Here is a 26,207-nt window from a genome sequence, read left to right as displayed (position 1 = left end):
CATGGCAGGAGGATCACCTGAGGCCAGAAGCTCGAGACTGCAGTGAGCTATGATTGTAGCACTGAATTCCAGCCAAGTTATCCAGGCAACAGGACAAGACCGTACCTCTAAAATAGATAAGTAGCCAAATATGGCGATTGGCTACTATATCGGACAGCACAGCTCTAGAGCCTCATTCTACCACACTACCCTTTGTGGCCTCCTGAAATCTCTATGCTTCGATGACACTATACTTCTCCCCACAGGCTTAATCAAGCCACATTCTCTTTCTTGTTCTCTCTCTCTCCCCCTGTCATCTCCTGGAAAACTTTTATCTAGGCTTCATGACATTATTCATTGCTATTTTTCTGGGAAGTCTTTTCTTATCTCCCACGCTGTACAACGTGGCTTCCTTGGCAGTCTCTGCTTACCCCCATTGAGTGCTGATTGCCCTCCATGGTGGTTGTGGATCTACTGGTCTGAGTTACCAGTAGACCATGAACTGCTTGAGAGCAGGGGCTGTGTGGCATTCATCACTGTGTTCCCAGTGCCTAGCACTTATATGGTAAATGAATGAATGGGTGGCTTTACACTGGAGATATGGCCCCCCTACCCAAACTGTATTAGCTTAATCTTAGTTAAGGACAGGCATTCTTATAGCTGAGACTGGTTAAAGGAAGGACTGAAAGGAGTTAGATGTGTCACAGCCTTTCTCATGTTTTCACAAAACACCAATATGCTGAACTGATAAACTTCTTCCCTAAGAGGCTGGGCAGAGCATCTAACAAGATATTCTGCACTCTGTGGGAAATCTAGTGCAAGAAGCCTAGCCTTTGTGGCATCTGCTTTGCTACTTGTTTTTATTTGAGTGTCCCTAGAAGTGTTGATGAGACAATAACAAGGTAAGAAAAGACAACTCAGAATATCACAGAATATCACTAGCTGGGCATCAAGGTAAATGAAAACCTTAATGTGTCAGGCCTTTGATTTCTCTGTCATTTTTTTAAAAGGCAATGCCAGTCTCCTGGCATAGATAGATAACATGATATTAACTAAAATAATAACAATGATACAGTTTAAGCTTCATGAAAAATGCTATGAAGTAAATAAAATGTTATTAGTAATTACAAATTAATTCATTATCAAAGTAGAGTAGTTGTGACTATTAGTTTTGACTATTTAAATGCCATATTGGTGCAAACATTACGCTTGCCTTGTTTTTAAATGGCTGTTAAATAGTAGTAATCACTACTAACCCACACTCCAGCATCTTGCCACTACTTAATATGACATTTAAAATTGCACTTTGACATCTTTAAGAAATGAGTTATTTTGCTCATTTTGATGATTCATTTTGAAAAATTGAGTCAGCTACCCTGGAAAGCACTAATTCGGCCTATGACCGATCACCGTAATTATCTCACTCTATATTAAGAAGACACTTCCATTATGCTATTCATTCATTTACTCATTCAAAAATTATTAACTTCTAACCTCTAGCTTTGAAGTAGGGTAGTGTGTTAAACTGTTACCAATTGGCCCTTGCTGGCCTCTAGAGTAGCACTGTCTGATAGAACTTTCTGTGCTCACAGAAATATTCTCTGTGCTGTGGAGAGGGATACAAAAGTGTATAGAAAATGATCCCTGCTTCCAAAAGCTGCACCCTTTATAGGTAAGCTGTCACCCTGACAATTAAAACAACTCAGAAATTTACTTAAATCAGCTTTGGGAATGTGAGATAGTCCCTTTAATTCAGGTAAAGTCCCTTTAATTCCATATAAAGATAATAATACCTTTCCTTGTTACTGCTCACGGTCATTATGAGAATCAGACAGGATAATGTATGTCAGTCACTGGTCAAATACGGTTGTGCCTCCCATGTGCCTATGCTCTGCCTTAGATGAGCCACACTCAGTCAGGTATGAAGAATAATCAAGGGAGGAAGACAAAGACCCTGCCCGAGTGGGAGGGAGCACCGTGTTAAGGTTACAGTTATCCTGCCTCTTTATCCACACATTTTCCTTTCCCAAAGTCCAGGAAACGATGGCTTCTGTAGGTTCCTGAGTGGCCAGCACAGTCCAGGGATGAAGAGCACCATGCTTCGACCTTGACTCTGCACTTCTTAGAGATGGAACTTTGGCAAATGAGTAACCTCTCTCTGCCCCTCACTCATTAGCAGCAAAACAAGGATATTAGTATCATTTGGGATGGTTGAAAAAAATAAAATGAAATACCATGTGCAAAGATCTTAATGCACAGCTGGACAGGCCGAAAGTAGTAACTGCTGTCAGAATTTCCTCTACTGCTCACCTCCCTCGAGGTCCTCATCTAGAACTTTCACCTACAGATTTGGCCCTCAGGCCTGTCCTTTTGGTCACTTATTTCACAGCCCTGTGCCCCAGCAAAGTCACAGAGCCTAGTGTCAAGCAGGGAATTTTACCCAAAATAAATGAGAGAGACAAAAGAAGCCTGGCACGAGGAATGCTCCAAGGAACAAAAAAAGGATATGCCTTTTCCATCTGCCTGGTTCCTCTGGGCACTTTGCATCACGGCATTCTTGCCCAGTCAGTGGAACTAATTGCCTGACAAAAAGACAGACTAGCGACTTGGGCTCTGAAATTAAAATCACTCCAACCACGTCCTGATCTCTTCACAAACACATTATAGGCAAATCAATTTTGCTCATCCAGGCTTTGCTTGCCTGTTAATTTTGTGCAGGCGCTTTGTCAAGATTCACCAGAGGACAAATGATTTGGAGAAGGACAATGTAAGAGATAAAAGCATGAACAGTATAACCGGGCAAGCATTAGAATATTTCTGATATTTAAGTACAAATCCTCTTTCTTACTTATCCATAAACCCCTGTCTTTGTAACACCTAGCACAGGCCATGCTGGTTAATCTGGCAGCCTAGAACAAGAAGTCTCTATTCATTCTAATTCTTTTTATTCTTTTTTTTTTTCTTTTTTCCTCCACATCTGTAGCAATTGTAGGTGAAATAAGAACAGGGAGAGTGTAGCGGGTAATGGTGTTGGGGTGCTAGCACTGAGACCCCAGAAGCAGGAGGAGAAGCATCACACTTCAATGCTCTCATTGGCCAGGATGCTCCACATGTGTTCCACAAATGCAAAGGCTACTTTATTGTTGTTTGCTGGAGACAGGAGCATCGTATCCTTTTGGAGCTCGAGGGATCTTAAGAGCAAGAAATCTTTACCAGAGCTCCAAGAATGGGCTTCAGGGGCTGTCCCAACAATCCCCTGAAAGAGTTTATCAAATACTGTGAACTTCACCGCTTTACTCTGGAGGAATAAATTCTGAGAATGCAGAGGCTCTAAAACCACACTGTCCTACATGTAAGCCATTAGCCACATGTGGCTATTGAAATGTGGCTAGTACAAATTAAGATGTGTTGTGTCAAACACACCAAAATTTGAAGGCTTGGTATTAATAGCTCCATATTTATTACATATTGAAATTAGAATGTTTTGGATATATCGGGTTAAATAAAATGTATTATAAAATCATTTTAACATGTTTCTTTTTAGCTTTTAATGTAACTACTAGAAAATGTTTAATTAATATGTAAGTGGCTTGCATTTGTGGCTCAAATTATATTTCTATTGGACAGCACCACTCTAACAGGTTAAGAATCACTTGCTTGGAGGACGTCCTTAGTCCATTTAGGCTGCTATAACAAAATAGCTTAGACTGGGTGGCTTCAAAAAGCAAACATTTATTTCTTACAGTTCTGGAGGCTGGGAAATCTCAGATCAAGGAGCTGGCAGATTTGGTGTCTGTTGAGGACCTGTTTCCTGGCTCTTAGAAGGCAACTTCTGGATGTGGCCTCATGTGACAGAAGGGGTGAATAAGCTCCTTCAAGTCTCTTAGAGCACTAATCACATTCACGAGAGTGGGCTCTCATGACCTTATCACCTCTCAGAAGGCCCACCTCTTAATACCATCACCTTGGAGGTTAAAATTTTAACATATAAATTTTGCGAAAACACAGACATTCAGACCACAGCAAAGGGATAGAGAACAGTGAAAGAAATTTGCGAGGACAAACCAGCTTTGGAAAGAGACAATTATTCGGTCAGATTCTGTCAGTCAAGACAAAATATACTGAGTATTGCTTATGTCAGGCAAGCAATAACTGCCAGCAAGGAGAGGGAAGAAATAGAGACAAGGACAGCATTTTAAAATTGCAACCAATTGGAAAACTTTGTGAAGAGCTGGAAAAATAAGTGGGTTGAAACGGGCAAGGAACTTTCATCTGATACCAGCTCTTATTGATGCAGAAGTGATAGCATCTGCTTTGAATGCTGGAAAGTCAAAAGACTGATGAGAATTCAAGTGGAAAGAAAGGCATTATTTTGGAAAAGACCACTTTTAATTTTAGACATTGTAATTAACTTGCAGAAAAAAGCTAGATTGTATTTTTTAGAAAGTAATAGGATTGCCTACTCTTATGACATAAAACAGCAAGTAATAAAGGTGAAATCTGGAATTTATTAAACAGTTTCTGATATTAATAAGATCAGGATAGATCTGGCTTATTGATAATATAAATAACTCAACTCTCATCAATGGTTAGAAGATATTCCCCAAGATAGAACGGTGTCCAGGGACAGGCTAGTTAACTAGCCATCAGGAATATTCATAAGATGGCATCTACCCAGGAGAAGTTACCAATGTTTTGGATCTGGTCCCCTGCATTGTGGGGCCAGAAACTAAGTCTTGTCAATGTTTTAAAAACTACCCCAGTGATTCTCAAATTGTGGTTCCTTAATCAGCAGCATAAGCAGCATCTGGGAATTTGGTAAAAATGCAAATTCTTCAGCTTCATCCCAGACCTAGTGAAGTAGAATTTCTAGGGATAAAGTCCAGCAATCTGGTTTTAACAAGACTTGCTTGGTATTAACCAAGCACACACTCAGATAATGCAGGTGATCTGAAAGCCTGCTAAAATGTGAAAGTCACTAGATTAATGACCACTATGCTACAAATATAAAATGAATTCATCAATAATCATAAATTGAACTGTCATGTGTACTAAAACTCTCACATTAGTAAGACTAGTACAATCTTTCCCTAACAGCCAAATCTCCCTGGGAAGCTGAACATTAATGAAAAGGTTGCTTGGTGAACCTGAAATTAAAGCAATGAGAATCAGATGTATGATTCAAACTCTTCACTTCTACTTTTAATTTCCATTTCAACTTCCACTCACTTGTGGGGATGGACTTATTCTGCTGGACAATAGCAAGTAGTGAAGAGAAGAATCAGGAATGACTGGTACAATTGCTACCATGCCAAGCCAATTACAAAGTCCACTAGAAGAATGTATCCTACCAAATCCTAGTTTGAACTTCCCCTGAGCAAAAGATATTAACAAGTAGACATCATAGAGCTGCCAACACTTGATTTCCAGACACTGGTTATGACCAAAACAGTTCAAGTATACATGATACCCTGATTACTTCCCTTAAATATAATTCTTGTTCGGATATAATTAGGTGTTACATTTACCTAGATAAGTGACGCACTGAAACTAACACCTCTGCATTATTTCCTTCAGTGTCCTTGGCTCTTCCACTCCTAAAACCCCAAGAACGCAGAAACAAGGTACTCTCCATCTTCTCTATCTTATTGGCTATGTAATATATCTGGGCACATATAGCTAAAATTTCCACCTTGTTATATTTTTATTTGCATTAACCCATATTAATATCAAAATATTTCCAGTTTTCATCTTCTTTCATAAAGCCTCCTATAAAATCCAATTATAATGTAATTTTTAAACTTCCATTTATTGCTTAAGTGGGACTATATCTATGAATATAGTATACAACATTTTAAACTCCCATATATTGCTTAAATTGACTATATCTATGAATATAGTATACAACATGTTATTTTGAAATATTTATACACTGTGGAATAGCTGAATCCAGGTAATTAACATGTGTTTTACCTCACATACTTATCTTTATTGTGGCAAGAACACTTAAAATCTCCTCTCAGAAATTTTCAAGAATAGAACCCATTATTATTAACTATAGTCATCACGTTTTTCCGCAGATCTCTTAGAATTATTCCTTGTACCTGACTGAAATTTTGTATCCTTTGACCATCTCCCTAATCCCCACTCCCACCCCTATTCCAGCCTCTGGAAACTACTATTAATCTATTCTCTGCTTCTATGATTTCAACTTTTTTAGATCCTACATATAAGTGAGAGCATGAGGTAACTGTGTGACTTGTAATTTTTAAACTTTACTTAAATTTTTATTTTTAATAATTCTACTACTGTCAACTATCACCAGAAAAATCCTCTTTCATCCGAAAGTTCGCCCTTTTCTTCAATAACCTCTACATATGATCTGAGCAGTGCTGAATAGACACTGCAGTGTTTTCTGTTTCATGTTGATCACTCTCTTCTAATTGATAGATTCCTTCTCCTAGAAATGTTAACATGATTGATTATATTTAAGCTGAATTTTGAGGCTTTTTCTACTCCTGGCCTAGACACCATTTTTACTACCTAATCTTACTAATTGTGTTGATTTTTATTGCTTAACTCTCAGTTTTCCAAGGGCTTCTCTGACATATCTGTATCTCCTTTTCATTTTTATCCCCTCTCTTCATGTCTCCAGCAACATAAAAGTCCACATTTATAATGGTGAGGCTGTGAGTCTACATGTTCTAAAATTTCTTCTGAACCGAGGAAAACTACTGTTCAATATGGTTTTGGAATTGGTGTATTTGAATTGACTATGATTCCTAGAAAACTTGCAATCCTGCTCTTCCAAGTGAGAGCCAAATGTTAACTAGAATATTTATTTAATGAAAACAATCTATTCCTGATCTATTAAAATGACAGCTTATGTTCTAATTATAGAATATATCATAGTCATTTAGTTATTTTGTCAAATAGTCTTAATACAATTTCTGGTATCTACTGGCAGTTAAAATCTTTTTTTTTTTTTTTTTTTTTTTTTTTTTTTTTTTTTTTTTTTTTGAGATGGAGTCTCACTGTTTCACCTCGGCTGGAGTGCAGTGGCATGATCTCAGCTCACTGCAACCCCCACCTCCCAGGTTCAAGCGATTCTCCTGCCTCAGCATCCCAGGTAGCTGGGATTACAGTCTGCCACCAACACGCTCGGCTAATTTCTGTATTTTCAGTAGAGACAGGACTTCACAATGATCACCAGGCTGATCTTGAACTCCTTACCTCAAGTGATCCGCCTGCCTCAGCCACCTAAAGTGCTGGGATTACAAGTGTGAGCCACCATACCTGGCCTAATTAGTCAAAATCTTATGAGAGACTTCTGGTTCCAAAATGGCAGCCAAGGAGCAAGCTGGTTTTACTTTCCCCACCCACAGAAAGCCAAAAGCACTGAGATCAGCACCAGCAATATCCCAGAACTCAAATATGAGGATGAGACAGTTCCTGGGGCCACAGAGAAGTGGAAAAAAAAACAAAAACAAACAAACAAACAAAAAAACGGACGGTAAGAGAATTGGACTTCCATATCCACAATGCCTCACACTACAATCTGCCTTGTACCGAGCACATGGAAAATTTTCCTCCAACTCATGGTTTCTACACTGGAAAAAAGAGAGACTGAAGTTGACGACCAACTCCTCCACCATCTTGGATTTCCTGGCAGGAGACCTAATCCTTCCTCAACCTACAGGAAGTTCCATGAGTTCCAGAAGGGAGAAATATCCCCGAGGACAGCCCGAGAGAGAAAGGAGAAGTGAGACTACCATTTCCAGCCCTGGAAACTTTGCTCTGTAATCAGCCAAAGGATATACGAAATCAGAGTGGCTGTTCAGCAGCTCCAAGCTATAGGAGATTCACGCCACAGGTCCCTGAGGCACAAATCCCTAGTCAGCCTTCCCACACTGCTGGGTTATCCCCCTTGGGACCTCCCCAGTTTGAGATTGTTAGTGTTCCAGTTACTAAAGCCAATCAAACCTGGGCTTAAAATGTCATCTAGTACCAAAAAAAGAGGCATCAGTCTGGAAAAACAAAACAAAAAAAAAAACGAAAGAAAAGAAAGAAATTTAACAGATTTAATATATAAATTACAAAGAATCTCTAGGCAAACATGTCCAATGAAAACCAAAACAAGCCAGAAAGAGAAGGCTAGAATAAATGACTAATTTGTCAATGCAAAGACATAGATGTGCATCCACAAGATACAACAGCAAACAGAGAACCATGACCTACTCAAATGGACAAAGCAAGGAACCAGTGACTGACCTTAACAAGATGGTGATATATGAGCTCTTTGACCAAGAATTAAAATAGAACATTTAACAAAACTCAGTGATCTTCAAGATAATGCAGGAAAGCAATCCAGAAATTTATTAGAAAAATTTAACAAAGAGATTAATTTTAAAAATCAAACAGAAATCTTGGAACTGAGGAATATACTTACTAAACTGAAAAATTCATTCGAGGGTTTCAACAGAAGAATAGATCAAGCAGAGGAAAGAATTGGTGAGCTTGAAGACAGGCTATTTGAAAACACACAGAGGAGAAAAGAGAAGACAGAATAAAAATAAATGAACACCTACAAGATATAGAAAATTACCTTAAAAGACCAGATATAAGAAGTATTAACGTTCAAAAGAGAGAAAGAACAAGGGGTAGAAAGCCTATTCAAAACTTTCCAAAATTTGGAAGAGATATAAATATCTAGGTATAGGAAGATCAGAAAGAAAACCAAACAGATTTGACCCAAATAAGACTACCCCAGTTGGGCACAGTGGCTCACACCTGTAATCCCAGCACTTTGGGAGGCCAAGGCAGGCAGATCACCTGAGGTCAGGAGTTCAAGACCAGCCTGGCCAACATGGTGAAACCCTGTCTCTAATAAAAATACAAAAATTAGCCAGCTGTGGTGGCATGAACTTGTAGTCCCAGGTACTTGGGAGGCCAAGACAGGAGAGTCACTTGAATCCAGGAGGCAGAGGTTGCAGTGAGCCAAGATCATGCCACTGCACTCTAGCCTGGGCAACAAGAACAAAACTCCATCTTCACAGAATTAGAAAAAACTACTTTAAAGTTCATATGGAACCAAAAAAGAGCCCGCATTGCCAAGTCAATCCTAAGGCAAAAGAACAAAGCTGGAGGCATCATGCTACCTGACTTAAAACTATACTACAAGGCTACAGTAACCAAAACAGCATGGTACTGGTACCAAAACAGAGATATAGATCAATGGAACAGAACAGAGCCCTCAGAAATAACGCCGCATATCTACAACTATCTGATCTTTGACAAACCTGAAAAAAACAAGCAGTGGGGAAAGGATTCCCTATTTAATAAATGGTGCTGGGAAAACTGGTTAGCCATATGTAGAAAGCTGAAACTGGATCCCTACCTTACACCTTATACAAAAATCAATTCAAGATGGATTAAAGACTTAAATGTTAGACCTAAAACCATAAAAACCCTAGAAGAAAACCTAGGCATTACCATTCAGGACATAGGCACGGGCAAGGACTTCATGTCTCAAACACCAAAAGCAATGGCAACAAAAGCCAAAATTGACAAATGGGATCTAATTAAACTAAAGAGCTTCTGCACAGCAAAAGAAACTACCATCAGAGTGAACAGGCAACCTACAACATGGGAGAAAATTTTCGCAACCTACTCATCTGACAAAGGGCTAATATCCAGAATCTACAATGAACACAAACAAATTTACAAGAAAAAAACAAACAACCCCATCAAAAAGTGGGCAAAGGACATGAACAGACACTTCTCAAAAGAAGACATTTATGCAGCCAAAAAACACATGAAAAAATGCTCATCATCACTGGCCATCAGAGAAATGCAAATCAAAACCACAATGAGATACCATCTCACACCAGTTAGAATGGCAATCATTAAAAAGTCAGGAAACAACAGGTGCTGGAGAGGATGTGGAGAAATAGGAACACTTTTACACTGTTGGTGGGACTGTAAACTAGTTCAACCATTGTGGAAGTCAGTGTGGCGATTCCTCAGGGATCTAGAACTGGAAATACCATTTGACCCAGCCATCCCATTACTGGGTATATACCCAAAGGACTATAAATCATGCTGCTATAAAGACACATGCACACGTATGTTTATTGCGGCACTATTCACAATAGCAAAGACTTGGAACCAACCCAAATGTCCAACAATGATAGACTGGATTAAGAAAATGTGGCACATAGACACCATGGAATACTATGCAGCCATGAAAAATGATGAGTTCATGTCCTTTGTAGGGACATGGATGAAATTGGAAATCATCATTCTCAGTAAACTATCACAAGAACAAAAAACCAAACACCGCATATTCTCACTCATAGGTGGGAATTGAACAATGAGATCACATGGACACAGGAAGGGGAATATCACACTCTGGGGACTGTGGTGGGGTGGGGGGAGGGGGGAGGGATAGCATCGGGAGATATACCTAATGCTAGATGACACGTTAGTGGGTGCAGCGCACCAGCATGGCACGTGTATACATATGTAACTAAACTGCACAATGTGCACATGTACCCTAAAACTTAAAGTATAATAAAAAAAAAATAAAAAAAATTAAAAAATAAAAATAAAATAAAATAAAATACTATAAAAAAAAAAAAAGAAATCCTAGGCAATACCATTCAGGACATAGGCATAGGTGAAGACGTCATGACTAAAACACCAAAAGCAATGGCAACAAAAGCCCAAATTGACAAATGGGATCTAATTAAACTAAAGACCTTCTGCACAGCAAAAGAAACTATCATCAGAGTGAACAGGCAGCCTACAGAATGGGAGAAAATTTTTGTAATCTATCCATCTGACAAAGCGCTAATATCCAGAATCTACAACAACCTTAAACAAATTTACAAGAAAAAAAAACTCCATCAAAAACTGAGAAAAGATATGACCAGACACTTCTCAAACAAAGACAATTATGCAGCCAACAAACATATGAAAAAAAGATCATCACTGGTCATTAGAGAAACGCAAATCAAAACCACAATAAGATACCATCTCATGCCAGTTAGAATGGGGATCATTAAAAAGTCAGGAAACAACAGGTGCTGGAGAGGATGTGGAGAAATAGGAATGCTTTTACACTGTTGGTGACAGTGTAAATTAGTTCATCCACTGTGGAAGACAGTGTGGCGATTCCTCAGGGATCTAGAACTAGAAATACCACTTGACCCAGCAAACCCATTACTGGGTATATACCCAAAGGATTATAAATCATTCTACTATAAAGACACATGCACACGCATGTTTATTGCAGCACTGTTCACAATAGCAAAGACTTGGGACCAACCCAAATATCCATCAATGATAGACTGGATAAAGAAAATGTGGCACATATACACTATAGAATTCTATGCAACCATAAAAAAGGATGAGTTCATGTCCTCTGCAGGGACATGGATGAAGCTGGAAATCATCATTCTCAGCAAATTAACACAGGAACAGAAAACAAAACACCATATGTTCTCACTCATGTGGGAGTTGAACAAGAAGAACACATGGACACAGGGAGGGGAACATCACATACCAGAGCCTGTTGGGGAGTGGGGTGCTAGGGGAGGCAGAGCATTAGGAAAAATACCTAATGTAGATGACTAGTTGATGGGTGGGGCAAACCACCATGGTCCATGTATACTATGTAACAGATCTGCACGTCCTGCACATGTACCCCAGAACTTATAGTACAATAAAACAAACAAAAAAACAAACAAACACATACATTTCTCATGTCAGAGACTTTGTGGTCAGGAATCCTGGTGTGGCTTCAGAGAATCTGCCTTAAGCTCTCTCACATGGTTCCCGGTTGGCCTCATGTTCTTACTGTCTGTTGGAGAGAAACATTGGTTCCTTGTCACATATATGAGTCTCTGCTAGGGAAGCTAACAACATGCTAGTTGGCTTTTCTCAGAGCCAGTGAACAAGAAAGGTAAGAAAGACAGAAGCCACAGTCTTTTGGTAACCTAATCTCAAAAAGTATATCCCATTATTTTCACTGCATTCTGTTTTTTTAGTAATGACTCAGTAAGTGCAGCCCACACTCAAGGCAGGGTGTATGATACAAGAATACGGACATCAGGAGGCAGATATCACCAGGGACTATCTTAAAAACTGCCTGTCACAGTGAGGTTATGCCATCTTGTCATGAAGCGGACACACACACACACACACACACACACACACACACAGAGTCTACTCAGTGTTGAGAAAGATCAGGGGCATCATTGATAAGGTACTAAAAAATGTCAGAGTGGGAAAGGATCTTAGACCTTATCTGAGCCAGCCCCCTCACCTTACATGTGAGAAAGTGTAAACCCAGAGGAGTTAAGTGGCCTGCCCAAGATTGTGCATTAACTTGTGGTCAGTCTTTGGGCTAAACCCAGGCTGACTCCTGATCAACTTCTCTTTTCCTTAGAGTTAACTTTCCAGCTCATCCTGGGCAAGGGTATTACTTTCACAAAAGATACAGATAAGTAGTTCTATCTGTTCTCTCTTCCAAAATTAGTGAATCATGTCGTTACCGAGTTTAAGGACCAGTGTTTTTTAAAAGTGGCAAATTGATAAGCAGATATCCTTGGTTATTTTCCCTCTGATCATTGTTCTTTTACTGCCTTTGTTCTTAACTGGATGAGAAAGTAGAACAAGAGTTTGCTTTACAGATAAACCAAGGAAATTTCATGCCCAATAATGTAAACGAAGCACCATTTTTCCTACCAAAGCACCCCACTTACAAAACTAAAATACAGAAAAGTTGAGAATTTGTCTAGAATCCAGAGCACCATTTTTAAAGTGCCCATTGGCACAGTAGCAATTTATGAAAGTTTTGCAATTTGTGAAGCAGATGTTTTTCATCAGCGTGGATGCCTTGATTCATGAAACATTCCAGTTTGACTTCACCATCAACTATCTTTTAACCCATATGCATGTTTAACCGAGGGTCAATTGATCAAATAATAGCTGACTGGCCAAAAAGGTCATTCTTGGGTTTGGCTGATTGAAAATGAGCTGTTGCATTTTTTTTCTCTTGTGTGTTAAGTGCAGCACAAATTATTCATGACACTGCTAGGAGGTACAGCAAGTTAATAAATCATAAGAATGGCTCCATTCTAGTTGCTCATATCCATGAAACCTGTCCTGTTGTGGTTGATGGTAAGGCTAGAGAAAATCAAGTGGACTTGATAGTAGAAGCAGTGTGATTGACTTAGAACCTTCCAGCTCTATGGCTGTTTTTACTCTGATATATGACATTTCAACTATAATTCTGCTACTATGTTCTTTAGTGTAAAAGGAGAGGTAATTAAACCTAAAACAAAATAGTCTTACTGTCAGCCAGTTAAGCATACACACACTCCTAGAGAACGTTCAGGATGTCTTTACTTCTAATCCAATAAAAACTTCCTAACTATGTCAAGGCCACAGGATGACATCTCTTGTCTGTTCAGTATGTTTCCAAGCTCTCTGCTTGGTACAGGATCTTGGTCCTAGTCTCTGAGGCGACCCTTTCAGCTAACCTCCCATCAAAAGATTCTCCTTCTTCCCTCCCCCTTATACCGTCTACCTCCCCAACGACCCCCAGGTCCTTGGCCCTTTTAACCCCTTTTCCTCCTCTTCCAGGTTCTGCCACTCCTGTGTCTTACCTTCATATGAGTTATAAGTCATCTGGTGTCTTTCTCTGGGACCCATCAGTTGATACAAAGGGGAGAGGTCAATTCATGTCTTTACTATAGTAAAGGAGAGGTGACAAGCCCTCAGATGAAGTGTCTGAAAGACAACTAGCCCTTTTTAGCTATGATGGTTGAACCTCAGCCAGCACACCCTATACAATTCATTTTACCAAGAGTATCTCCTTCCTACCATTGTGCTGCAGTCTAAGGGTTCACCTGTCACTATGGGCTTTGTAAGTGATGGTCTTTGGGAACAAACAGAAGAGACAAAAAATTTCCAAGACTCAAGGCTACTGATTCACTTATATCTTGATAAGCTGCATTCAGCAAGGGAGGATTCATTTTCAGGGAAGTACAGAGGGAGGGGTTCTATTTGGGGTTGAATAGATAGGGGGAGAGAAATAGAAGCAGTTCCTGTCACAACCTCTAGTTTTCTCAACATCCCCTCCCCTGCCATTGCCTTTATAAGCAAAGAGAAAAAGAAACAAAATTAGACTACAAGGTACTCAAAGGGTGAAAGTGAATCAAAATTGACCTCCCTAGTAAGGATAAAATTGATCAAAAGTTCTTCAAATGCCCAGAACACTGACCCCTCTCATTCATAGTTTCATAGAGAATGGGCACGAGAAGCAAGAGAAAGATTATACTCACTACATAAAATAAACTACATGTTTTTTATTGTCTGAGGGTAATGAATAGATTCTGGATGAAAAGAATGCTGTGTGAGGAGAAGGAGGCAGACTCTCCGTGAGAATAAGGAGAGTTTCCCCAAGGAAACCTTTAAAATGATCTTTCAAAATAAAGAAAATTTTAGAAATTAGCTGGCCATGGTGGCATGTGCCTCTGATCCCCCAGCTATTTGGGAGACTGAGGCAGAAGGATTGCTTGAGTTCAGGAGGTTGAGGCTGCAATAAACTGTGATCTTATCACTGCACTCCAGCCTGAGTGACCCCTTCTCAAAAAAGAGAAAAAAAAGATAAATGAGATATTATCTATTTGCAGACTCTAGACATAAAAGAACATGAATTGTATTAAGGATGTGTTAGAGTCATATATGTAATTCTGAGCCAGCAGAAGTCTTTTTTCTTTTTCTTTTTTTTTTTAAAGTTTGCATTGTAATTTTCCTTAAACTACACTTAGGGCCATTTCTAGCCGATATGGTAGATTAAATTGAGGTGGGAACTCTCCCTATCCTTCCAACACTACATTGCAATAAGCTTGAAACCAAGAAAGAGAAATCTTCAGGTGCCAGAAATAATGAACTAAAAGTTAAAGGTGTGAAAAAAAGCTGGATCCAAACAGCTCACCAAGTATCAGATTAGCTCATAACATATTGGGCTGAGATCTTAAAACTCTGAGAAGGGGATTCCAGCCCCAGTTTCAATGTATGCTTGGACCTAGAACGAAGCTACCTGAATAAAACTGGGAGTCACTAAGTGGGCACTCCATTCAGAAATGCCAAATAGAAATACTCTGTCTACTGGTCCAAAGAAAAAGGAAGGAATCTTTCCATTTGCCTGGGACTCGGTGAATGAAATGAGAGTCACCATAAATACTGGAAAACAAGTTCGTGTCTCACATGAGTGAGGAATCTGAATTCACACTCCCTGCAAAATGCGAGCATTCAAGGCCAATAAAAAGTGGTCCTGTGCTAGTGACAACTCATTGGTCCCCTGGTTAAACTTTTCTGTAGAGACAATTCAATAAAAGGATGCCTCTGTGGCCCAGCTGAGAATAACTGCTGCTGAGGTCATACTCAAAAGTTACACACTACACCAAAAAGGAGGTATTGATTCAGCAAATGAGAGAATTTGCAATTTAAAAAAATCTCAATAAGGGAATAGTTTTTGAGAAACTCCCAAATAAAGACTTTCAACATGTTCAAAGAGAAAAATCAAGGAATAGAAGAGAACCATAAGCAAAACAGTGTGAAACAGTATGAAAAACTGTGCTTTGAAATCGGGACAGGTTGAATAGTAGGGTTCAACGCAAGAAGCAGAACCAATAGGAAACAACATATTAAGAGCTTCATTTTAAAGAAATAAGGAATGGGCTTACACAATGTGGGGCCTGGCTAAGCAAGGTTGAAATCCATAGGAAAGAAAGGGAAGATCAGGGTAGGCTGGAACCCATGGGCATGGGCAAAGTGGTTGCCCACAAGTGGCATTCTCTCCTCCCCTCCTCCCTTCTGGTCCCCCCTCTTCCCTTCCTCCCTTTCCTCTCACTTTCTCTTTCTCCCACCCTCCCTCTCTTTCAGAAACCTCAGCTCTGCTTTCAATGATTTTCAATTTCATATTTCTTCTACCTTAATCACATACTCTCAATATCCATTCCCACATATATTTTCCAGATTTCTACCTATATAAATAGAAAAAAAATCATAGTTCTTTACATGTATATTGTACCTCCTCATGAAAGGTGGACGGCAATAATAATTAACTTCATACTTGGTAAATAAGTACTAAAACGTTGGAGCATGCAAGTAAGAGGCCCTAAACTTCAGCTTCACTTGCATCATAGAAAAATCTACCTATCTTAGGGAAAAATAAGACTGTTACAGTAGCATCCTCTTTAGGGGTAGGGGTAAGGAATAATGGGATAGTGGGAATCAAATTTAAGGAGACATGTTTTCCTGTATGTAAGGTAAATCAAAGGTAAGGGCAATCACTAAATGAATATAAAATGTATGTACAACTTTCAAACCAGAAGAGAGGAAAAAAAGAGAATGAATTCAGTCCTGTATAGATAGAAAATAAGAATGAGTCAACATAGGTCATTCATTGATTCATGCATTCACTCACTCAGCAGAGTTTTACTGAGTATCAGTTGGATCCTAGGTACGATGTACCTGTTCATATTCATAGTAGAATATTCAGTAAATGCCTGTTTCCCTACTCCAGGAATAATTAGAAACAATTTTCTCCTGGTTTGTAAGTCTCTTGGTATATCTTGTCATCTTTTCATCAATTTGACAGTTGTTCTTGTCAAATGAACTGTATTTTTAATTGCTAACCTAGTCTGTAAACTCATAGGCCATTCTGGCTTTCTCTGTCCCAAAACTCTCATTGGTTCCAAGGTTTAATTGTAAAATAAAAATGAACCAGAAGGGGCTGGCAAGATGGCTGAATAGGAACAGCTCCAGTCTGCAGCTCCCAGTGAGATCAATGCAGAAGGTGGGTGATTTCTGCATTTCCAACTGAGGTACTTGGCTCATCTCATTGGGACTGCTTGGACAGTGGGTACAGCCCATGAAGGGTGAGCTGAAGCAGGGTGGGGCATCACCTCACCCAGGAAGCTCAAGGGGTGGGGGAATTCTCTCCCTTACCCAGTGGAAGCCATGAGGGACTGTACCTAAGGAACAGTGCACTCCAGCCCAGATACTGCACTTTTCCCATGGTCTTTGCAACCTGCAGACCAGGATATTCCCTCTACATCACCAGGGCCCCAGGTTTCAGGTACAAAACTGGGTGGCCATTTGGGCAGACACCAAGTTAGCTGCAGGAGTTTGTTTTTTTTTCTCCCCCATACCCCAGTGGTGCCTGGAATGCCAGTGAGACAGAACCATTCACTCCCCTGGAAAGGGGGCTGAAGCCAGGGAGCCAGGTGGTCTGGCTCAGCGGGTCCCACCCCCATGGAGCCCAGCAAGCTAAAATCCACTGGCTTGAAATTCTTGCTGCCAGCACAGCAGCAATCTGAAGTGAACCTGGGATGCTCAAGCTTGGTGCGGGGAGGGGCGTCCACCATTGCTGAGGCTTAAGTAGGAAGTAAACAAAGCTGCCGGGAAGTTTGAACTGGGCAGAGGCCAATGCAGCTCAGCAAGGCTACTGAGGCCAGATTGCCTCTCTAGATTCCTCCTCTCTGGCCAGGGGATCTATGGAAAAAAAAGGCAGCGGCCTCAGTCAGGTGCTTACAGGTAAAACCCCCATCTCCCTGAGACAGAGCACCTTGAGGAAGGGGCAGCTGTGGGCTCAGCTCCAGCCGACTTAAAACATCCCTGACTGAAGGCTCTGAAGAGAGCAGCGGATCTCTGAGCACAGCACTAGAGCACTGCTAAGGGTCAGACTGCCTCCTTAAGTGGGTCCCTGATCCCCATGTATCCTGACTAGGAGACATCTCCCAGTAGGGGCTGACAGACACCTCATACAGGAGAGCTCTGGCTGGCATCTATTGGGTGCCCGTCTGGGACAAAGCTTCCAGAGGAAAGAACGGGCAGCAATCTTTGCTGTTCTGCAGCCTCTGCTGGTGATGCCCAGGCAAACAAGGTCTGGAATGGACCTCTAGCAAACTCCAGCAGACCTGCAGCAGAGGGGCCTGACTGTTAGAAGGAAAACTAACAAACAGAAAGGAACAGCACGTCCATTCAGAGACCCCATTCAAAGATCACCAACATCAAAGACGAAAGGTAGATAAACCTATGAAGGTGGAGAGAAACCAGTGGGAAAAGGCTGAAAATTCCAAAAACCAGAACACCTCTTCTCCTCCAAAGGATCAGCACTCCTTGCCAGCAAGGGAACAAAACTGGATGGATGAGTTTGATGAATTGACAGAAGTAGGCTTCAGAAGGTGGGTAATAAGAAACACGTCCAAGCTAAAGGAGCATGTTCTAACCCAGTGCAAGGAAGCTAAGAACCTTGAAAAGAGGTTAGAGGAATTGATAATGAGAATAACCAGTTTAGAGAAGAATATAAATGACCCAATGGAGCTTAAAAACACAGCACAAGAACTTCATGAAGCATACAAAAGTATCAATAGCTGAATCAATCAAGCAGAAGAAAGGATATCAGAGATTGAAGATCAACTTAATGAAAGAAGACAAGATTAGAGAAAAAAGAATGAAAAGGAATGAACAAAGCTGCCAAGAAATATGGGACTATGTGAAAACATCAAATCTATGTTTGATTGGTGTATCTGAAAGTGACAGGGAGAATGGAACCAAGTTGGAAAACACTCTTCAGGATATTATTCAGGAGAACTTCCCCAACCTAGCAAGGCAAGCCAACATTCAAATTCAGGAAATACAGAGAACACCACAAAGACACTACTTGAGAAGAGCAACCCCAAGACACATAATCATCAGATTCACCAAGGTTGAAATGAAGGAAAAAATGTTAAGAACAGCCAGAGAGAAAGGTCAGGTTACCCACAAAATGAAGCCCATCAGACCAACAGCCGATCCCTCTGCAGAAACCCCAGAAGCCAAAAGAGGCAGGAGCCAATATTCAACATTCCTAAAGAAAAGAATTTTCAACCCAGAATTTCATATCCAGCCAAACTAGCTTCATAAGCAAAAGAGACATAAAATCCTTTATAGACAAGGAAATGCTGAGAGATTTTGTCACCACCAGGCCTGCCTTACAAGAGCTCCTGAAGGAAGCACTAAACGTGGAAAGGAAAAAAATAGTACCAGCACTGCAAAAACATACCAAATTGTAAAGACCATCGACACTATGAAGAAACTGCATTAACTAACGGGCAAAATAACCAGCTGGCATCACAATGACAGTATCATATTCACACATAACAATATTAACCTTAAATGTAAATGGGCTAAATGCCCCAATTAAAAGACACAGGCTGGCAAATTGGATAAAGAGTCAAGACCCATCAGTGTGCTGTATTCAGGAGACCTATCTCACGTGCAAAGAAACACATAGGCTCAAAATAAAAGGATGGAAGAATATTTACCAAGCAAATGTAAAGAAAAAAAAGCAGGGTTTGCAATCCTAGTCTCTGATAAAACAGACTTTAAAGCAACAAAGATCAAAAGAGACAAAGAAGGCCATTACATAATGGTAAAGGGATCAATTCAACAAGAAGAGCTAACTATCCTAAATATATATGCACCCAATACAGGAACAGCCAAATTCATAAAGCAAGTTCTTAGAGACCTACAAAGAGACTTCGACTCCCACACAATAACAGTGCGAAAAGTTAACACCACACTGTCAATATTAGACAGAGCAACGAGAGACAAAATTAACAAGGATATTCAAGACTTGAACTCAGTTCTGGACCAAGTGGACCTAATACACATCTACAGAACTCTCCACCCCAAATCAACAGAAAATATATTCTTCTCAGTACCACATCGCACTTATTCTAAAATTGACCACATAACTGGAAGTAAAACACCCCTCAGCAAATCCAAAAGAACGGAAATCATAACAAACAGTCTCTCAGACCACAGTGCAATCAAATTAGAACTAGGATTAAGAAACTCACTCAGGCGGTGGCTCACACCTGTAATCGCAGCACTTTGGGAGGCTGAGGCGGGAGGATCATGAGGTCAGGAGATCAAGACCATCCTGGCTAACACAGTGAAACTCTGTCTCTACTAAAAATACAAAAAAAAAAAAATTAGCCTGATGCAGTGGCAGGTGCCTGTAGTCCCAGCTACCCGGGAGGCTGAGGCAGGAGAATGGTGAGAACCCGGGAGGCGGACCTTGCAGCAAGCCGAGATCGTGCCACTGCACTCCAGCCTGGGCAACAGAGCGAGACTCTGTCTCAAAAAAAAAAAAAAGAAAAGAAAAAAAAGACTCACTCAAAACCACACAACTACATGGAAACTGAACAACCTGCTCCTGAATGACTACTGGGTAAATAACAAAATTAAGGCAGAAATAAAGATGTTCTTTGAACCAATGAGAACAAAGACACAACATACCAGAATATCTGGGACACAGCCAAAGCAGTGTTTAGAGGGAAATTTATAGCAATAAATGCCCACAAGAGAAAGCAGGAAAGATCTAAAATCAACACCTTAACATCACAATTAAAAGAACCAGAGAAGCAAGAGCAAACAAATTCAAAAGCTAGCAGAAGAGAAGAAATAACTAGGATCAGAACAGAACTGAAGGAGATACAGACATGACAAACCCTTCAAAAAAAATCAATGAATCCAGGAGCTGGTTTTTTGAAAAGATTAACAAAATAAACCACTAGCCAGACTAATAAAGAAAAAGAGAGAAAAGAATCAAATAGGCACAGTAAAAAATGATAAAGGGGATATCATCACTGATCCCACAGAGAATACTATAAACACCTCTATGCAAATCAACTGGAAAATCTAGAAGACATGCATAAATTCCTGGACATATACACCCTCCCAAAACTAAACCAGGAAGAAGTTGAATTCCTGAATAGACCAATAACAAGTTCTGAAATTGAGGCAGTAATTAATAGTCTACCAACCAAAAAAAGTCCAGGACCAGAAGGATTTACAGCCGAATTCTACCAGAGGAACAAAGAGGAGCTGGTATCATTCCTTTTGAAACTATTCCAAACAATAGAAAAAGAGAGACTCCTCCGTAACTCATTTTATGAGGTCAACATCATCCTGATACCAAAACCTGGCAGAAACACAATAAAAAAGGAAATTTCAGGCCAATATCCCTGATGAACATTGATGTGAAAATCCTCAATAAAATACTGACAAATCTAATTCAGCAGCACATCAAAAAGCTTATCCACCATGATCAAGTGGGCTTCATCCCTGGGATGCAAGGCTGGTTCAAAATATTCAAACCAATAAATGTAATCTATCACATAAACAGAACCAATGACAAAAACCACATGATTATCTCAATAGATGCAGAAAAGGCCTTTGACAAAATTCAACAAAACTTCATGCTAAAAACTCTCAATAAACTAGGTATTGATGGGACGTATCTCAAAATTACAAGAGCTATTTATGACAAACCCACAGCCAATATTATACTGAATGGGCAAAAGCTGGAAGCATTCCCTTTGAAAACTGGCAAAAGACAAGGATGCCCTCTCTCACCACTCCTATTCAACATAGTATTGGAAGTTCTGGCCAGGGCAATCAGGCAAGAGAAAGAAATAAATGATATTCAAAAATAAAAAGAGGAAGTCAAATTGTCTCTGTTTGCAGATGACATGATTGTATATTCAGAAAACCCCATCGTCTCAGCCCAAAATCTCCTTAAGCTGATAAGCAACTTCAGCAAAGTCTCAGGATACAAAATCAATGTGCAAAAATCACAAGCATTCCTATACACCAAGAACAGACAAACAAAGAGCCAAATCATGAGTGAACTCCCATTCACAATTGCTACAAAGAGAATAAAATACCTAGGAATAAAACTTACAAGGCATGGGAAGGACCTCTTCAAGGAAAACTACAAACCACTGCTCAAGGAATAAGAGAGGACACAAACAAATAGAACAACATTCCATGCCCATGGATAGGAAGAATCAATATCGTCAAAATGGCCATACTGCCCACAGTAATTTATAGATTCAATGCTATCCCCATCAAGCTACCAGGGACTTTCTTCACAGAATTGGAAAAAACTACTTTAACCTTCATATGAAACCTAAAAAGAGCCTGCATAGCCAAGATAATACTAAGCAAAAAGAACAAAGCTGGAGGCATCATGCTACCTGACTTCAAACTATACCACAAGGCTACAGTAACCAAAACAGCATGATACTGGTATTAAAACAGATATATAAACCAATGGAACAGAACAGAGGCCTCAGAAATAACACCACACATCTATAACCATCTGATCTTCGACAAACCTGGCAAAAACAAGCAGTGGGGAAAGGATTCCCTATTTAATAAGAGGTATTGGGAAAACTGGCTAGCCATATGCAGAAAACTGAAACTGGATCCCTGCCCTACACCTTACACAAAAATTAACTCAAGATGGATTAATGACTTTAATGTAAGACCTAAAACCATAAAAATCCCAAAGAAAACCTAGGCAATACCATTCAGGACATAGGCATGGGCAAAGACTTCATGTCTGAACACCAAAAGCAATGGCAACAAAAGCCAAAATTGACAAATGGGATCTAATTAAACTAAAGACCTTCTGCACAGCAAAAGAAAGTATCATCAGAGTCAACTGGTAGCCTACAGAATGGGAGAAAATTTTTGCAATCTATCCATCTGACAAAGTGCTAATATCCCAAATCTACAAAGAATTTAAATAAATTTACTTGACAAAAACAGCCCCATCAAAAAGTGGGCAAAGGATATGAACAGACACTTATCAAAAGAAGACATCTATGCAGCCAACAAACATATGAAAAAAAGCTTATTATTACTGGTCACTAGGGAAATGCAAATCAAAGCCACAATGAGATATCATCTCACACCAGTTAGAATGGTGATCATTAAAAAGTCAGGAAACAACAGATGCTGGAGAGGATGTGGAGAAATAGGAAATCTTTTACACTGTTGGTAAGAGTGTAAATTATTTCAACCATTATGGAAGACAGTGTGGCTATTCCTCAAGGATCTAGAACTAGAAATACCATTTGACCCAGCAATCCCATTACTGGGTCATATAAATCATTCTACTATAAAGACACATGCACATGTATGTTTACTGTGGCACTGTTCACAACAGCAAAGACTTGGAACTAACCCAAATGCCCATCAATGATAGAGTGGATAAAGAAACTATGGCACTATACACTTTGGAATTCTATGCAGCCATGAAGAAGGATGAGTTCCTGTCCTTTGCAGGGACATAGATGAAGCTGGAAACCATCATTCTCAGCAAACTATCACAAAGACAGAAAACCAAACACCACATGTTCTCACTCACAGGTGGGAATTGAACAATGAGAACACTTGGACACAGGGCGGGGAACATCCCACACCAGGGCCTGTCAGAGGGATGGGGGGCTGGGGGAGGGATAGCATTAGGAGAAATACCTAATGTAAATGACGAGTTGATGGGTGCAACAAACCAACATGGCACATGTATACCTATGTATCAAACCTGCACGTTGTGCACATGTACCCTAGAACTTAAAGTATAATTAAAAAGAAAGAAAGAAAGAGAGAAAGAAAGAAAGAGAGAGAGAAAGAGAGAGAGAAAGAAAGAAAGAAAGAAAGAAAGAAAGAAAGAAAGAAAGAAAGAAAGAAAGAAAGAAAGAAAGAAAGAAAGAAAGAATGAATTTATGGCACATATACACCATGGAATACTATGCAGCCATAAAAGATGAATTCATGTTCTTTGCAGAGACATGGATGAAGCTGGAAATCATCACTCTCAGCAAACTAACACAGGAACAAAAAATCAAACACTGCATGTTCTCACTCATAAGTGGGAGTTGAACAATGAGAATACATAGACACAGTGAGGGAAGCATCACACACCAGTGTCTGTCAGTGGGTGGGGAGGTTAGGGGAGGGATAGTATTAGGAGAAATACCTAATGTAGTGATGGGTTGATGGGTCCTGCAAACCACCATGGCATGTGTATACCTATGTAACAAAACTGCACGTTCTGCACATGTACCCCAGAACTTAAAGTATAATTTTAAAAAATGAACCACAAGGACCCACACTCAATAGCAACGTAGGATGAGGCAATGTATTTCTTCAACTCAAGTGTAACTTCCCAAGGATGTCTCTTACGAACCACTGCTTCATCTTCTTCTTTAAGTAGGAGGGTTTAAACTTCAGAATTCAGAAAATGAGAAACTGATACTGAAACTTATAAATTATTTGGTCAAAGTACTTTTCCCATTTCCTGATGCAATATTATATGAAATAGTTACAGCATTTTCAAATAGAAGCACAAGAGTTTATACTTTCTAATCTTCTCATCTTAGAGGTGAGAAAAGTGAAGCTGACAGGTTAAAACTGTTTGCATCAGATTATGAAGCCAGTTAGAGGAAGAGGTCAGTCCTCCTCTAAGTCTCTAACTACTTATCCATGGAGAAAGCAAAGGAGCCTCACTTGTGGTGCCCCCTAAAAATCCATTCATGCCTTCAACTATTTATCGAGCACTGACTACTTTCTTCTCTTTGTCTTGGATGCTGAAGCAAATGAATGACTTGAATCCTACTCTATAGAAGTATACAATGCAAGATGAAAGACACATTCTTGCAGTGTTTGCACAAGGTGATATTGCTCACTTGAATTTCACATTTGTTTTTTTAAGTTGCTTTAAGATATAAATGAAGGCCAGGTGTGATGACTCATGCCTATAATCCCAGCACTTTGGGAGGTTGAAGCAGGTGGATCAATTGAGTCTAGAAGTTTGAGATTAGCCTGGGCAACATCGTGAGACCTCATCTCTACGAAAAATACAAAAATTAGCTGGGCATGTTCACACACGCCTATAGTCCCAGCTACTCAGGAGGCTGAGATGGGAGGATTGCCTGAGCCTGGGAGTTGGAGGCTGCAATGAGGTGAGATTGTGTCACTGCACTCCAGCCTGGGCAACAGAGGGAGACCCTGTCTCAAAAAATAAATAAGATAAATGAAGTAATAGATAAATAAATGATTCATGAATCTATAAACAACTTCATTTGCACAGGGCTATTCAAGGACAGAAAATGAAGTCTGCTCCGTACTTAGGGGCTGAGCCTAGGGAGAATCAAGATGATGCTATAGAATCCTAGGAAAATGCTGGTCTAACATAAGGAACAGCAAACACACATTTCTTTATGCTCCAGGCCAACCCCAGCTGCTGTATGGAAAAGTATCCTGGAAGTGGAACCAGGAGATCTAGGATGTAGGCCATTTTTAACACCCCAAATATTGACTTCCTTATCTATGAACTCTACCACTATGTTGTCAAAAAGATGAAAACAGGTCGGGCGCAGTGGGTCACCCTGTAATCCCAGCACTTTGGGAGGCCGAGGCAGGCGGATCACCTGAGGTAGGGAGACCAGCCTGACCAACATGGACCAACATGGGTTTAGTACAAACCCGGTCTGTACTAAAAATACAAAATTAGCTGGGCGTGGTGGCACAGGCCTGTAGTCTCAGCTACTTGGGAGGCTGAGGCAGGAGAATCACTCGAACCTGGGAGGTGGAGGTTGTGGTGAGCTGAGATCCCACCATTGCACTCCAGCCTGGGCAACAAGAGTGAAATTCCGTCTCAAAAAAAAAAAAGATGAAAACATAATAAACAAGAAAACAGTGGTTGGGTGGCTCCTTTAATTTTGTTTTGTTTAGAAAATGAAATCATCCCACCTCTCTGGGCCTTATTTCCTTACCTAATTGGACGTGTTGAACTAGGTCAAGGATGCAAACATAATTTCCCTCAGGAGCCTGGCAGATAAAAGGAATAAGTGAAAGAGGGATAGCCTTGGTGGAAAGCAGTAGTTTCTTGGGGCCCATGGCACAATTGGGGAATGCAAGCTTTTGTAGAAAAGCAAACAAACAAAAGCCAACAAACAAAAATCCAAATTATAAAGAAAAACCTATGATAGCCAGTAGTGGCTCCTGGATGACACACTCTCTAATGATTCATAAAAGGTACAGCCTTGAATGTGTATGTGTACATACATTTAAGTTGCAGATGAAGAAGACTCTCAACCAGATTCTTGTTTCCGAGAAAAATGATGTAGTTCAAATATAGGGTTTGACGAGCCAGTAAGAGTGGCAGGTGAGAGTCAGGAGATTGGTGCAGGGAACAGCAGAGAGTGAAGAGAGGGGAAGGACCTTGTGGGAGGACAGTGGTGGCTGAAGGCAGACAACTGGTAATAATTATTCCATTCTATAAATGCCTCTCCAGAAGCCCATGATTT

General features: G+C 40.1%; 1 long non-coding RNA gene across 1 annotated transcript in view; it reads right to left on the bottom strand.

The window, feature by feature from the left end:
* LOC105370519 (uncharacterized) overlaps positions 1-26,207 on the bottom strand; it is an 87,246-nt gene that overhangs the window by 15,971 nt on the left and 45,068 nt on the right. Inside the window, exon 2 of the long non-coding RNA XR_007064194.1 lies at positions 11,738-11,842. This is a non-coding gene — a long non-coding RNA (uncharacterized LOC105370519). The remainder of the gene's footprint in view (positions 1-11,737; positions 11,843-26,207) is intronic.

Source organism: Homo sapiens, chromosome 14 (assembly GCF_000001405.40).
Source record: "Homo sapiens chromosome 14, GRCh38.p14 Primary Assembly".
NCBI classification, from domain to species: Eukaryota; Metazoa; Chordata; class Mammalia; order Primates; family Hominidae; genus Homo; species Homo sapiens.
The sequence above is the reverse complement of the archived record's forward strand: the minus strand, read 5'-3'. Positions and strand labels throughout refer to the sequence as shown.